The following is a 15,740-nucleotide window of genomic DNA, read 5'->3' on the forward strand; positions in this document are numbered from 1 at the left end:
TGCCAGCCAGTTCTTGCCTCTGGGGTTTTGCACCTCTTCCTAGAATGTTCTGCCTCCAGATCTGGCTGGTTCCTCCTCCTTCCTCCTCCTCCTCCTCCTCCTGCAGGTTTCAGCTCCAGTGTTCCCTTCTTGGGAGGTGTTCCCTGAACACCCCATCTAACTACCTCCCCATCAGCCTGTCACATGTCCCTGTTTTATTTTTTTCGTAGCACTTTGGACAATCTGAATTTATTTTTCCTTGGTTTACGGGTGTTTCCAGAGCCATTGTGAATGGTGGTGCATGTTGTCAACTGCAGAGGAGGTGAGTGGGGCCGAAACCCAGCCTGGGCCCACACTACAAGCTGGTGCTGGGGCTGTACCTGCTTGGCGGGAGGCACCTTTTCCTAACTCACATGATGGCACTATGCAGGCAAGCTGCAGCTCCACTGGTGTCACCTCCTGCAGTGACACCCAAACCCACCAAAGAGGAACGGCACCTGCCCACTTCACTGCTGTGTGTCCATGTCCAGCATGGTGCCTGGCACCAAGCAGGTGCTCAATAAACATTTCCAAGCCTGGTGCAGTAGCTATAATCCCAGCTACTTGGGAGGCTGACATGGGAAGATCGCTTGAGCCCAGGAGTTTGAGACCAGCCTGGGCAGCATAGCAAAACCCTGTCTCAAATAAGTAAATAAATAAATAAATAAATAAATAGATTCAGGCAAACAAATTCTGTTATGATTCCCCCACTCCCACCCTCTTCCCATACTCCTCAATAAAATACGCTAGGCACTGTGGCTGCTTCGTCACTGGGTCTCACTGAAGCCAGCCCCAGACCTGGGTCCAGGGTTGGCAAAGGTGACTGTTAAGGGAACATAGGAGGACCCAGGAAGTTGAGGGGTGATTGTGTGAGTTTGGGAGCCCTGGGGATGCTCCCTGAAGCCCTGAGCCCCTTCTATCCCAGAGGAGCTGCCCTGAGCTCCCAGTGCCCCTTCCCAGGGCCCCCCAACTTCCTGGGGGTACATGTGGAGGGGTCAGGTGGCCCACACACTCCCAAGCCCCGGGAGCCCAGTGCAGCACAGAGACTCATGGGCAGGAGGTGGCACTGAGGGTCCTGCTGCAGCAGCCAGGCTCAGAGCGGGGGCAGGATCAAGGCACCACCCTTCCCTCTGCTCCCCGAGGCCACTTCGCCACGCTGCCTGGCCGCACCCGCCCGCCCTGCCAGCCTCCCCAGCTCTGGCAGAGAAGGAGTTAACCTCCAGGCTTCTCAGCGTGAATGTGGAGCTATTAATACCCACAGCCCAGCCAGTCTGCCAGAGAAGCCACTGGAGCTGGGGAGAGCAGGGAGCCGGGAGAGCCGCCAGTCGCAGCCGAGCCGGGACCGGGACTCCAGGGGTCAGAACTTTTCTCGAGGACAGCGTGGGCACCGTGCCAGCCTCACCTGGCCCTTGCCCGTCTTTCAGCTGCAGGTCCCAACCCTCTCTCCTGGAGGCCACCCATGCCACTCACCCCAGCCGAGGAGAACAAACTTTCTTAGGGAAGGCACCTCTGCGGCCGTGCTGGCTGGACCAGGAGGAGCAGACGGCTGGACAGACAGGGGGACTGGGGCACGGGACACCTGCAAGCCTGCCCTCCTAGTCCTGCCTCTGACAGACAGCCACAGAGTGGGCAGCCGGAGGGCCTAGGGCTCCACAGGGGCAGTTGGGGGGGCACTCCCAGACCTCCGTCTGCCCACCAGCCACCTCGGAATCCAGGTGGCTGGACACCGCTTCGCACGGCCCAGCCCCGTGGCTGGAACCCCCACGGGTCAAGACAGGAGCCCCCGCCAGACAGAGCCCCCGGCTCCTCCACCCACCGAGGCGACGGGCAACCTGAGTGAGAAGGCACAGGTGGCGGGCGGGCAAGTGCAGAGCCCTGAAGCCGACGGGCTGCTGACCCTGGAGCGCCCTGGCTCGGGGACTCCTGCCCAGGCTGGCGATGATGCTGCGGAGGCCACCCCTGGCCACCCCTGCCCTGTCCTGGAGCTGCCTCCGGCCTGGCCCATGGGCTGCGGAGTCGATGATGTGCCGGCCTTCTGCTTCGTCTGCTTCCACAGGGAGGAGGAAGAGGAGCTGCTGGAAGAAGTCCCATTGCGGAGGTCAGTGCTCGTGGGTGGCCAGTGGGTGGGCAGCAGGTGGGCACAGCGCTCGACCCAGGGTGCCTGTGGGCCTGGCAGTCTTGCTTCAAGTCAATCTCTCTCTGTCCACTGCTTACCACCCACTGCCACTTCCTGCTTCAGATCTCAGATCTCTCACCTGGTTGTTGCCACAGCCTCCTTCCTATCTCCCCCACCCTAGCCCCAGAGTGGCTTTCACGTCCTCTCCCACAGTGAGCATGTCCCTCCCCTGCTCAGAGCCCTCCATGGCTCCCAGCTCCCGTGGGATAAAGTTAACACTCGGCTGAGCATTCAAGGCCTGCGTGATTGGGGCCGACACTCCCCACCTCATCTCACTCTGTTCCCCTATATTAACCTCCAGTGAAACTCTGCCCAGACTTCTCTTCCCCCATTCTCCTCCATCCAGGCCCAGCTGCAACGCTTCCTCCTTCAGGAAGCCCTCCTGGATGTCCCTGTCCCACCCTAACCTGAGAGCCACCTTTCCATCCTGCACTGCAGTGGCACCTAACAGATGTTCCATCTTTGTTGAATTCATACACGAAAATGCATGCATGTGTATTTGCTTGTGTGTGTGTGTGTGTGTGTGTAAAAGAGAGAGGGAGAGAGACAGAATGGTTTGTGTGGCTGCGTGACTGGGTATTGGGGGTGACCGTGTGTGACTGTGAGCCTGTGTACATGTTTGTGGGAGCAGGTATGAGTGCTGCATACCTATGTGGAGGGAAGGGCTGTGCCTGGGGCCCAGTGGGAGTTCAAGCCCTAGAGATCATTGTTCCTTTAGCCAGCTCTCCCCACCCCCACCTGCAGGGAAACCCAGGCTCCAGCCAAGTGCATTATCCAAGCTGTGACCACAGGCTCTGGGAGTGATCTGCAAGGGAGACAGGGGTCACCTCTGCTCCAGCCCAGCCTGCCTGTGCCTCCATCACTGTCTGAGTCAGCACTACCCTGCCCTGGGTGGGGAGAAGGGTAGGCATGGGCCAAGCCAGTTTCCCCCTCCAGGATCCTTCCAGGACAAGTGGGCCAGGCGAGGGCTCCTGGAGCCTGGGCTGGGTTCCTCCCTGACTTTCTCTGTTGGACTCTGGGTGCACAGTTCCCGCTCCGTGGGCCTCTGTCTCCTCATCTGTAAAATGGGAGGATGTTCCCTGCTATGGTTGTCAGCTTAACATTCAACACAGTGACTGGCCACCCACAGACTGCCAGGGCCTGGGCTGGGGACTGGAACCTGGCTCACAGGGTCACAGCCTGCTAGGAGAGACAAAAGAGAAGACAGGTCAGTTCTGCACAGGGTAGTGGGCATCTTGATGGGCGTGGGTGCACAGTGCCTAGGAAGTCAGGAGGCAAAACAGACCACCTCTGCCCACAGGAGCCATCGGAGGCCCACCAGGTCTGTCTTAACGTGCAAGTGCCTTCCCAGGGGTGAGAGAGGCTGAGGAAAGGGCATCGCAGGCAGTGGGAACGGCAAGAGGGAAGGCTTGGTGCAAATAAGAAACAAAGTGTGGATGGTGAGGATGAGGCTGGCAGAACAGGGCCAGATCACAGAGGGCCTGGACGCTGAGCCGGGGACCTGACCCATAGGCACTGGAGCAAGCAATGGGGAAGACTCGAGGCAAAACAGGGGCAAGTGAGGAGAGGCAAGGAAATAATAGGTGCAGAAGGGCTTCTTGCCCTAAGCAAGAACTCCTAAGCAATGGTCTCATGATAGAACCCCGTGTTCATAGTGAACACTCAAAATGCTTGTTGAATGAATACATGAATGAATGAATGAACGAATATGACATTGAAAGATAGGGCATCAGGCGGGGTGTGGTGGTTCACACCTGTAACCCCAGACCTTTGGGAGGCCAAGGCGGGTAGATCGCTTGAGCTCAGGAGTTCGAGACCAGCCTAGGCAACACAGTGAGACTCCCGTCTACACACACACACACACACACACACACACACACACACACACACACACACACAATTAGCCAGGCATGGTGGCATGCACCTGTAGTCCCAGCTATTCCAGGGGCTGAAGCAAGAGGATCCCTTGAGCCCAGAAGTTCGAGGCTGCACTGAGCTATGATCACGCCCCTGCACTCCAGCCTAGGCGACAGAGTGAGACCCTGTCTCAAAAAAGAGAAAGAGAGAGGGCATGGGAATAATCTGAGTTGAATTGTTAAAAAATACTACACTCCCAGACCCTGCATCGGAGATTTTGCAGCTTCAGGTCTTAGGATGGATGTGTAATGTTGATCAGTTTCCTCCAGGTGAACAACGTAAGCAAACCAGCATTTGGGAAGCCCCAGAAAGAGACAGGAATAGGCCTTAGGGTTGGCAGCCGTGAAATCTGCCCCCTCATCCCTCATCCCTTCATCTCCCACCTCTGATTCTGGGGACTCTCTGTAGGGGATGTCTCTCTGCCTCCTGCCCTGGGAGTATGGTAGCCTATGTTTGCAGGAGCTGGTCTCCTTTCTAGCTGGCAGGTTCTGGCCCTTTAAGACCTGGGAGGGGACAGGGCCAGGCTGGGCAGAGACAGTGACCACAGGTGCCAGGTGGTGAAGCTAAAAATACTGAGTGATGTGTCCGCCCAGGCTGCAGGAGCCAGTGCTGGCTGGGGAGGGTGGGACAGAAGGCTCTGGAGTGTTTCTTTGCTGCTGGAGGAGGGGCAGTGGGGCAATGAGGCTGGGTGGGGTCACCTTGGGGGCTTAGAGAAATCTGTGGCTGCCCCCAGCCAACCCCGCCCCGCCTCTCCCAGCCTTGCTCCAGCCCCTGGTAGGCTCCAGGATTCAGTCCTAGAATAGCTGGCTGCCACGTTTAGCAGCCCTGGGCAGGCTAATTCTGGTGCATCCTGCTTCTGTGTGATCCTGGGGAAGTCACTTCTCTTTGGGTCTCTGCAAAATTAAAGAGTTGGACTTTCTCAGGCATTTGTAGGGAAAGAAAGGCAACGAAGGGGGGCAGGTGACCAGTTCACTCCTTTGTGGATTCAGTACATTTTCCCTGAGGCTCCCTGGGGACTGGATGCTGAGGCCACTGCGATGAATGTGACACAGCCATGTCCCTGGAGGGGCTCACAGCCTAGTGAAGACAAAAACAACACACGCTCGAACAGACAGCACAATGTGCTATAATAGAGGTGTGAGCACTGTGCCCTCGGCTTCTGTTGTGGGACAATGCAAGAGACAGCCCCACAGAAAACACATCTGCATTTGATGAAAATTTGTCAGCAAACGCATCACCCACAGTAATGTTCACCAGCCACCTACATCTGGTGTTTTGATGTATTAATTAAGGTGAGGCAAGCTGTTGGAATAAATAAGCTTGGCAATCGTAATGGCTTAACACAGAAGAGCCTTATATTCTGGGTGTGTGTGTGTTTTGGGGTGGGGGTGGTGATGGAGGAGACTCTGCTCCACGTGATCTTTCAGGGATCCAGGCTCCTCTCATCTTGTAACTCTGTCATCACCCACGGCCACTGCTGGATCTTCTGCATCCAGCTTGCAGATGAAGAACAAGAGTGGAAACCACACATGAGGTTTTTATGAACCAAAGCTGGAAATGGCCTCCTTTACTTCTGCCCACATGCATTGGCCAGAACAGCTCATTGCAAGAAAAGCTGGGAAATATAGTCCCGTCTACATGAAAGCATCCAGTACATAATAGATGCCCAATGTTCTCATTCATTCATTCACTCAACAAATTTCGTTGCATAGCTTTTGTGGGCTAGCACCAGAAACTGGACTGAAAATACCATCCCTGCTCTCATGGGGTTTATATCTAATGAGGGAGTCAAACAAAACACAAGTGAACAAATAAACAAATCGTCAAGGTTCAAAGCCCATTGTGAAGGAAATTACCAGGGATGGTGGAGACAGCTGCTTTGCATACGGTAAACAGGGAGGTGAGGATATTTCATCTAAGACCTAGAGAATGAGAAGTAGCCAGCAGTGGGGAGACGGGTAGTAACAGCAGCTCAGGCAAAGCAAATTGAGAGCAACAGGTAGGCAGGAGCACGGGGAGGGCTCAGTGTAGCCGAGGCAGAGCAAATGATGGGGACAGTGACAAGAGGCAGGGCAGGAGGGACAGGAACAGTCAGGCCACGCAGGCCTTGGCACCCATGGCGAGGAGATGGATTTTGTTCCAGAAGGAATTGGGAAGCCTTTGAGAGCTCTTAAATGGGGGAAGTTGTATAATCTGATTGACATTTTAAAGGATATTTCAGGCTATGCTTGGGAGAATCAGTGGTGATGGGCCAGAATGAATAGAGGACGCCAACGTGGAGGTCACAGTGGTGAGCGGCTTTGGAGATGGGGAAGTAAGAAAGTGCTTTCTGAACATATTTAGGAGGCTGGGCACAGTGGTTCATGCCTATAATCCCAGCACTTTGGGAGACCAAAACAGGAGGATTGCCTGAGCCCAGGAGCTCCAGACCAGCCTGGGCAACATAATGAGATCCTATCCCTGCAAAAGAAAAATTCTAAAATTAGCCAGGCATGGTGTCGTGGGCCTGTAGTCCCAGCTACTCAGGAGGCTGAGGTGGGAGGGTTGCTTGAACCCAGGAGTTTGAGGCTGCAGTGAGCTGTGATTGTGTCACCACACTTTAGCCTAGGTGACACAGCAAGACCCTGTCTCTAAAACTAAAAATAAAATAAAAACAAACAAACATTGGAGACAAATCCACAGAATTTTCTGATGGGTCAGAGGAGGAAGGGAATCCGGGGTGATCTGGGCTTTGGGGATTGCAGAGGTGCATGGGTGATGGGCAGATTCGAGGGAGGAAAAGACTTGGTGAGAACATCAAGAATACAGGCTCACGCCTGTAATCCCAGCACTTTGGGAGGCAGAGGCGGGCGGATCACTTGAGGTCAGGAGTTCAAGACCAGCCTGGCCAACACAGTGAAACCCCATCTCTACTAAAAATACAAAAATTGGCCAGGCATGGAGGCACACACCTGTAGTCCCAGTTACTCAGGAGGCTGAGGCAGGAAAATAGCTTGAACCCGGGAGGCGGAGGTTGCAGAGCAGAGATTACACTACTGCACTCCAGCCTGGGCAATAGAGCGAGACTCCGTCTCAAAAAAAAAAAAAAAATTCCTGCCACAGATATTTTCCACTTGAGAAGCAGGTGAGGTGTCCAAGTGAAGATGTCAAGAGAGGACATCATAATGAGAGTCTGGAGTTCAGAAGAGGAGCCTCTCGGCTGACGGTGGAACTTCAGGGTCATTGGTAAAAAGATGGTGTTGCAAGCCATGAGATCACACGGGAAAGAGGGGAGGGAAGAGGCTCCAGGACAGGGCCCTGAGGACTCCGCGGTATTGAGATCATGTGGAGGAGAAGCCAGCGAGGGAGGCAGAGAAGGAGCAGCTGGGAAAGTGGGAGGAAAACTGAGAGCCTGGGCAGTCACGGAAACCAAGGAAGTGTCGCGAGGAGAGGGGGCGTGGTCCACCTGCTTCAAAGATGTGAGCAGTCCAGGGAAACGAGATTAGATTCAGCTGCCAGGCGCATTGGAACACGCCTGCAATCCCAGCACTTTGGGAGGCCGAGGCAGGAGGATTGCTTGAACCCAGGATTCGAAACCAGCCAGGGAAACATAGGGAGACCCCCATCTCTACAACAAGTGAGAGAGAAAAAAAAAATAGGACTTGTGCGATGGCTCACAGCTGTAATCCCAGCACTTGAGGAGGCAGAGGCAGGAGGATCACTTAAGGCCAGGAGTTTGAGACTAGCCTGGGCAACATGAGACCCCCATCTCTATTAAAAAAAGAAAGAAATAAAAGCCGGGCATCATGGCGCATGTCTGTAGTTCCAGCTACTCAGGAGGTTGAGGTGGGAGGGTTGCTTGAACTTGGGAGGTCGAGGTTACACCGAGCCATGATGGCGCCGCTATAGTCCAGTCTGGGAGACAGAGCAAAACTCTCTCATAAATAAATAAATAAATACTAGCCGGGCATGGTGGCATGCACCTGTAGTCCTAGCTACTTGGGAGGAGGCTAAGGCAGGAGGATTGCTTGAGCCCAGGAGTTCAAGGTTACAGTGATTGTACCACTGCACTCCAGCCTGGGCAACAGAGGAAGACCCTATCTCTAAAAAATATAAAAATTAAAATTAAAAACATAAATAATTTTTTAAAAAAGAAAAAAGATTAGATTTAGTGATGTAGAAGTCAAGAGTGACTTTGATAAGAATGCATCATGAAGCCTGGCACGGTGGCTCACTACTGTAATCCCAGCACTTTGGGAGAGTGAAGCAGGCGGATCACTTGAGGTCAGGAGTTCGAGACCAGCCTGGCCAACATGATGAAACCCTATCTCTACTAAAAATACAAAAATTAGCCCCGCGTGGTGGTACGCACCTGTAATCTGAGCTACTCGGGAGGCTAAGGCAGGAGAATAGCTTGAACCTGGGAAGTGGAGGTTGTAGTGAGCCAATATTGTACCACTGCACAGAGTGAGACTCTGTCTCAATTAAAAAAAAAAAAAAGAATGCAAACATGAAGCAGTGGAAACAAAACCAGGTTTGATGTGGTTAAAGAAGGAAGATTGAACACACACATGTAATTTCTCTGTATCCTAAAGCCCCATTGAAAGGACAGTGAGGCTGAGTGCAGTGGCTCACAACTGTAACCCGACACCTTGGAAGGCTGAGGCAGAAGGATCACTGGAGCCCAAGAGTTCAAGACCACCCTGGGCAAGACCCTGTCTCTACAAAAAAATTTTAAAAATTACCTGGGCATAGTGGCACGTATCGGTATTCCCAGCTCCTGGAGAGGCTGAGGTGGGAGGATCGCTTGAGCCCAGGAGTTCAAGGCTGCAGTGAGCTAAGATCACACCACTGCACTCAACCCTAGGTGACAAAGGGAGACCCTGTCTCTTACAAAAAGAAAAGAAAAGAAAAGAAAAAGGATAGTGAGTGGATTTTTAAAGGTGTGTGCATCAGTGTTTTATTGCTTCCATAACAAATTGCCATAAACTGAGTTGCCTTAAACTAAACAAGTTAATTCTTACGGTTTTATATGTCAAAACTGACACAGATCTCACTGAGCTGAAATCAAAGTGTTGACAGGACGGCTCTAGGAAGCTCTTCCTGGAAGGGCTTTCTGGATGCTACAGGCAAGAACCCATTTCTTTGATTTTTCCATCTTCCAAAAGGTACCTGCATGCCTTGGCCCGTGACCACCTCCCTCCAGCAAGGTAGCATCTCTCTGATTTCTCATCACATCACTTTCTTTTTTCTTTTCTTTTTTTTTTTTTTTAAAAAAAAAACAAAACAGGATCTTGCTCTGTAGCCCAGGCAGAAGTGCAATGGCCCAATCAGGATTGCCGCAGCCTTGACCTTCTGGGCTCAAGTGGTCCTCCCTCCTTAGTCCCCCAAGTAGCTGGGACTACAGACATGCGCCACACACCACGGCTAATTTTAAATTTTTTTTTTCAGACAGAGTCTCACTCTGTCGCCCAGGCTGGAGTGCAGTGGTGCGATCTCAGCACACTTCAACCTCTGCCTCCAGGGTTCAATCGATTCTCCTGCCTCAGCCTCCTGAGTAGCTGGGATTATGGGTGTGCACCACCACACCTGGCTATTTTTTTTATTTTTAGTAGAGACACCGTTTCACCATGTTGGCCAAGCTGGTCTCAAACTCCTGACCTCAGGTGATCCACCCACCTCAGCCTCCCAAAGTGCTGGGATTCCAGGCTTGAGCCACTGCACCTAGCCTAATTTTTAATTTTTTATAAAGATGGGGTGGGGGGAGGCGGAGGCATCTCACTATGTGGGCCAGGCTGTTCTCGAACTTCCGAGCTCAAGTGATCCTCCCGCCTCAGTTTCCCAAAGTGTTGGGATTACAGGCGTGAGCCACTATTCGTGGCGTATCACTTTCTCTGACCACACCTGGGAAAGGTTTTCACAATTCATGTGATTAGATTGGGCTCACCTGAATTATCCAGACTGATCTCCCCTTCTCAAGCTTCTTAACCTTAATCACATTTGCAAAGTCCCTTTTGCCATGGAAGGTAACATGTTCATGGCTAATGGAGATTAGGACATGGATGTTTGCAGGGGGCCATTGTTCTGCCTAACACAGCATGAAGCAGTGAGAACTAATCAACTGAAAATGGAGAAAATAGCAACACCATTTTGGAATCTGGAAGATAAATGAACACGTGGTAATAACTGACTTAGCAGGCTGAGGAATTTGCACTTTAAGTGAACCCTAAACTGGGGTTAGGACAGGCCAAGGAGTATAATCTATACTGCCAAATCCCTGAAAGGTGCTGGCATTAATAGCCTAAGTACCTCTGGAAATGAGAGTAAAGCTGGGGCTGAACCCCAGGAGGACTAGGGTAAGAAGGGCTTAAATCCTCAAATGTCCTTGCGGCCAGGCGCAGTGGCTCGTGCCTGTAATCCCAGCGCTTTGGGAGGCTGAACTGGGAGGATTGCTTGAGGCCAGGAGTTCAAGACCAGCCTGAGCCACATAGCAAGACCTTGTCTCTAAAAAAAGGTAAAAATTAACCAGGCGTGGTGGTGTGCACCTGTAGTCCCAGCTACTTGGGGGGCTGAGGTGGGAGGATTGCTTGAGCCTAGGAGTTTGAGACCAGCCTGGGCAACATGGTGAGACCCCATCTTTATAAAACAGTTTTGTTCATTCCTGGAGGTCCCTCTCCCTGTCAAATAGCATCCAGTTTTTGTTTCATAGTTATAGTATATTTTCTTAAATATCTAAATATAGTAGTAACAGTTCTGGGGGTTTTTTGGTTTTTGTTTTTGTGTAGAGATAGAGTCTCACCCTGTCAACTAGGCTGGAGTGCAGTGGTGGGATCAGGGCTCACTGCAGCCTCCACTTCTGGGGTTCAAGCAATCCTCCTACCTCAGCCTCCTGAGTAGCTGAGATCATAGGTGTGCACCACCACACCTGGCTAATTTTTAAAAATGGGTTTTTTTTTTTTTTGTAAAGATGGGTCTCACTATGTTGCCCAGAAATCAAAACTATTGGCCAGGCTCGGTGGCTCATACCTGTAATCCCAGCACTTTGGGAGGCTGAGGCGGGTGGATCACCTGAGGTCAGGAGTTCGAGACCAGCCTGGCCAAAATGGCAAAACCCTGTTTCTACTAAAAATACAAAAATTAATCAGGCATGGTGGCACGTGCCTGTAGTCCCAGCTACTCAGAAGGCTGAGACACGAGAATTGCTTGAACCTGGGAGGCGGAGGTTGCAGTGAGCCGAGATCGCACCACTGCACTCCAGTCTGGGTGACAGAGCGAGACTCTGTCTCGAAAAAAAAAGAAAGAAGGAAAAAAGAGCTAGGCAGCCACTTTGGTGTTGATCCAGCAGTCTTGGCCAACCTATAGAGAAGCTCAAGAGCAAACATTGTCCAGGAGAGGAGCTCCAGTGTCCCCACTGTCCCCACTGTCCTCAGTCATTGGCTGGAGCTGCCCAACAAGACCTTAGTTTTGGCTCAACTGCTGTGGCAGATCTCAAAGACAGTGTAGTTGAAGGCTGTCAGCCAACTGCAATCCTCAAAGCCAAATAGCAAGTTCTTTCCTTTTTTTTTTTTTTTTTTTGAGATGGAGTCTTGCTCTGTCACCCAGGCTGGAGTGCAAGGGTGCAATCTTGGCTCACTGCAACCTCTGCCTCCTGGGTTCAAGCGATTCTCCTGCCTCAGCCTCCTGAGTAGCTGGGATTAAAAGCGCCCGCCACCATGCCTGGCTCACTTTTGTATTTTTTAGTAGAGGTGGGGTTTCACCATGTTAGTCAGGCTGGTCTCGAATTCCCGACCACAGGTGATTCACCAGCCTCGGCCTCCCAAAGTGCTGGGATTACAGGTGTGAGCCACCATGCCTGGCCTGCAAGTTCTTTCTTGAAAGGAGAACCAAGCAGCCACCTCCATGACTACTACAGATGGGAAATAGGAAAGAAAGGGTATGAAGATTAGAGGATCAGTGCAGGCATCCCACATCTGAACAAAGGAGCTCCAGAAAGACAGTAGAGAGGAGAGGAAATAGTCAAAAAAATGTTTCCACTATTTCTTAGAACTGAAGGGCCTGAGTTTCCTGATTAAAAGAGCCCACGGAGTGACCATCCAAAGGATAAAAATAGGCTGGGTGTGGTGGCTCATGCCTGTAATCCCAGCACTTTGGGAGGCCGAGGCAGCAGGATCAGTTGAGGTCAGGAGTTTGAGACCAGCCTGGCCTGTATGGTAAAATCCCATCTCTACTAAAAATACAAAAAAAAAAAAATTAGCTGAGAGTGGTGGCACGCACCTGTAGTCCCAGCTACTCTCAAGGCTGAGGCACGAGAATCGCTTGAACTCGGGAGGTGGGGGTTGCAGTGAGCCAAGATTGCACCACTGCACTCCAGCCTGGGTGACAGAGCAAGACTCCGTCTCAAACAAACAAACAAACAAAAACAAAGGATAAAAATAGACTCATGCCAAAGCCAATCGCCAGTAAATTTCAAGACACTGGGACAAGAAGAAAATTCTCCAAAATTGTATAGAGTATCAAGAATCATAATGGCATCGGACTTCTCAACAGCAATCCTGGAAACGAGAAGACAATGAACTATGTTTTTTCCATTTTTGTTTTTGTTTTTTTGAGACACAGTCTTGTGCTCTGTCGCCAGGCTGGAGTGCAGTGGCGTGATCTCCACTCAACCTCCGCCTCCCAGGTTCAAGCGATTCTCCTGCCTCAGCCTCAAGAGTAGCTGGGACTACAGGCGCACACCCCCACAGCCAGATAATTTTTGTATTTTTAGTAGAGATGAGGTTTCACCATGTTGGCCAGGATGGTCTCGATCTCTTGATCTCGTGATCCACCCACCTCGGCCTCCCAAAGTGCTGGAATTACAGGCGTGAGCCACCACGATCTGCCGGAACTATGTTTCCAAAAGTAGAAAAGAAAATTATTTTCAGCCTAGAATTATTATTATTATTATTATTATTATTATTATTACTAAAGACAGGGTTTTGCTCTGTCACCCAGGCTACAGTGCAGTGGCACAATCATGTCTCACTGCAGTCTCAACCTCCTGAGCCCAAATGATCCTCCTATCTGAGCCTCCTGGGTACCTGGGACCACAGGCAGTGCCACCACACCCGGCCAATTTTTTAATTTTTGTAGAAACAGGGTTTTACCATGTTGCCCAGGCTGGTCTTGAACTCCTGGCTCAAGTGATCCTCCCATTTCAGCCTCCCAAAGTGCTGGGATTACAGGCATGAGCCACTGTGCCCAGCCCTCAGCATAGAATTCAATACTTAGCCAAACTACTAATAAAGTGAGAGTAGAAAAAACAATATTTTCAGATTGGCAAGAGCTCAAAAATTTTACCTCCTATGCACCCTTTCTTATTTATTTATTTATTTATTTATTTATTTATTTATTTATTTATTTTTTGAGACGGAGTCTTGCTCTGTTGCCCAGGCTGGAGTGCAACAGCGTGCTCTCCGCTCACTGCAAGCTCCGCCTCCCGGGTACATGCCATTCTCCTGCCTCAGCCTCCCGAGTAGCTGGGACTACAGGCGCCCGCCACCACGCCTGGCTAATTTTTTGTACTTTTAGTAGAGACGGGGTTTCACCATGTTAGCCAGGATGGTCTCGATCTCCTGACCTTGTGATCCACCCGTCTCAGCCTCCCAAAGTGCTGGGATTACAGGCGTGAGCCACTGCACCCGGCCTACGCACCCTTACTTGAGAAAGCTACTGGAGGATGTACTCCACTAAAATAAGGGAGTAAACCAAGTAAAACAAGAAATAGTAAACAAGAAAAACAATAAAGAGTAAGACCTGGGCCAGGAGTAGTGGCTCACACCTGTAATCTTAGCACTTTAGGAGGCCAAAGCAGGCAGATCACCTGAGGTCGGGAGTTGAAGACCAGCCTGGCCAACATGGTGAAACCCCATTTCTACTAAAAATACAAAAATTAGCTGGGCATGGTGGCACACGCCTGTAATCTCAGCTACTTGGGAGGCTGAGACAGGAGAATCACTTGAACCTGGGAGGCGGAGGTTGCAGTGAGCCAAGATCACACCACTGCACTCCAGGCTGGGTGACAGAATGCGACTCCGTCCCCCCACCCCCAAAAAAGAGAGTAACATCTGGACTCCAGGAAACAGGAATTGAATGTAAGAGAGAGGAGAAGAGAATCTCGCAGTTCACACTCAAATAAGAGAAGAGATCTCTTCAAGGAGATGAAATTGATAGAATACCTAATGTTTTTGAATTTTGGAGACATTTACACAAGTAGGGGAGAATATGGGTTGACTGATATATAAACATGTAGGTAAACAAGTACTCCCCTCTCCAAAAAATGTTATCAAATCCAGGAAAACCGAAACTTTTGAACAGAAAAGGGAAAGAAATTTAAAATGAAAATTTCTGCCCTGCAAAAGACTCTGCCAAGAGAATGTGAAGAGAAGCCACAGAATGGCAGAAAATATCAAGTGCTCCTTGGTATTTACCCAAATAAGTTGAAAATTTATGCCCACAGAAAATCCTGCACATGAATATTTGCTAGTTTCGTTTTACTGTGGTAAGGACACTTAATGAAATTTGTCCTCCTAACATATTTTTAAATGTACAATACATGTATAATACATGGTTGTTTTTTTGAGACATGGTCTTACTCTGTTACTGAGGCTGGAGTACAATCACAGCTCACTGCAGCCTCCATCTCCTGGGCTCAAGCAATCCTCCATCCTCAGCCTCCAGAGTAGCTGGGACTACAGATGCATGCCACCATGTCCAGTTAATTTTTAAATTTTTTATAGGGACAGAGTTTCGCTATGTTGTCCAGGCTGGTTTCGAACTCCTGGGCTCAAGTGGTCCTCTAGCCTCAGCCTCCCAAAGTGCTGGGATTCCAGGTGTGAGCCCCTGGTACAGAGTTACACAGCAGCTCTTTAGAGCTTATTCATCTTGCTTTATTGAATCTTTATGCCTACTGATGAGCTATTCCCCAATTTCTTCTGCAACTCTGACAACTATAGAACCAAAATCTAGGAATTAGACTTCTTTAGATATCCCATATAAGTGGAATTATGAGATATGTGTCCTTCTGTGGCTTATTTTGCTTTGCATAATGTCCTTGAGTTTCATCTATGTTGTCACATATTTTTTTTCTTTCTTTCTTTCTTTCTTTTTTTTTTTTTTTTTTTTGAGACGGAGTCTCACTCTGTCACCCAGGCTGGAGTGCAGTGGCATGATCTTGGCTCACTGCAACCTCTGCCTCCCAGGTTCAAGCGATTCTTCTGCCTCAGCCCCCTGAGTAGCTGGGACTACAGGCATGCCCCACCACGCCTGGCTAATTTTTGTATTTTTAGTAGAGATAGGGTTTCACCATATTGGCCAGGCTGGTCTCGAACTCCTGACCTTGTGATCCACCCACTTCGGCCTCCCAAAGTGCTGGGATTACAGGCGTGAGCCACCATGCCTGGCCTGTCATCGCATATTTTTAAGGCTTAATTGTAGTAGTCCCTGTTGCATGTATAGATCACATTTTTTTCATCCATTCAACCCATTTGGGTTATTTCTACATTTGGCTATTGTGAATATTGTTGTAAAGAACACAGGAGTGCTAATACCATTTTGAGAATTATTTTTTTCTTTTTTTAGAGACAGGGTCTCATTATGTTGCCCAGGCTGG

At 50.4% G+C, this 15,740-nt stretch overlaps 1 protein-coding gene across 1 annotated transcript in view, besides 1 other annotated feature; it reads left to right on the forward strand.

Annotated features, from left to right (window-relative positions):
- The first annotated feature begins 1,294 nt into the window (after positions 1 to 1,294).
- SBK1 (SH3 domain binding kinase 1) overlaps positions 1,295 to 15,740 on the forward strand; it is a 65,169-nt gene continuing 50,723 nt past the window's right edge. Inside the window, exon 1 of the mRNA XM_005255315.5 lies at positions 1,295 to 2,116. Coding sequence (XP_005255372.1) covers positions 2,022 to 2,116 — 95 coding nt within the window. The 5' untranslated portion in view covers positions 1,295 to 2,021. The remainder of the gene's footprint in view (positions 2,117 to 15,740) is intronic.
- Positions 3,128 to 3,628: an enhancer, noted in NCBI's record as "H3K4me1 hESC enhancer chr16:28271835-28272335 (GRCh37/hg19 assembly coordinates)". NCBI's record gives its function as "activates a minimal SCP1, AML or CMV promoter by ChIP-STARR-seq in primed H9 embryonic stem cells {active_cell/tissue: H9 hESC(primed)}" and the evidence as "EXISTENCE:reporter gene assay evidence [ECO:0000049][PMID:30033119]".

Source organism: Homo sapiens, chromosome 16 (assembly GCF_000001405.40).
Source record: "Homo sapiens chromosome 16, GRCh38.p14 Primary Assembly".
Taxonomy (NCBI): domain Eukaryota; kingdom Metazoa; phylum Chordata; class Mammalia; order Primates; family Hominidae; genus Homo; species Homo sapiens.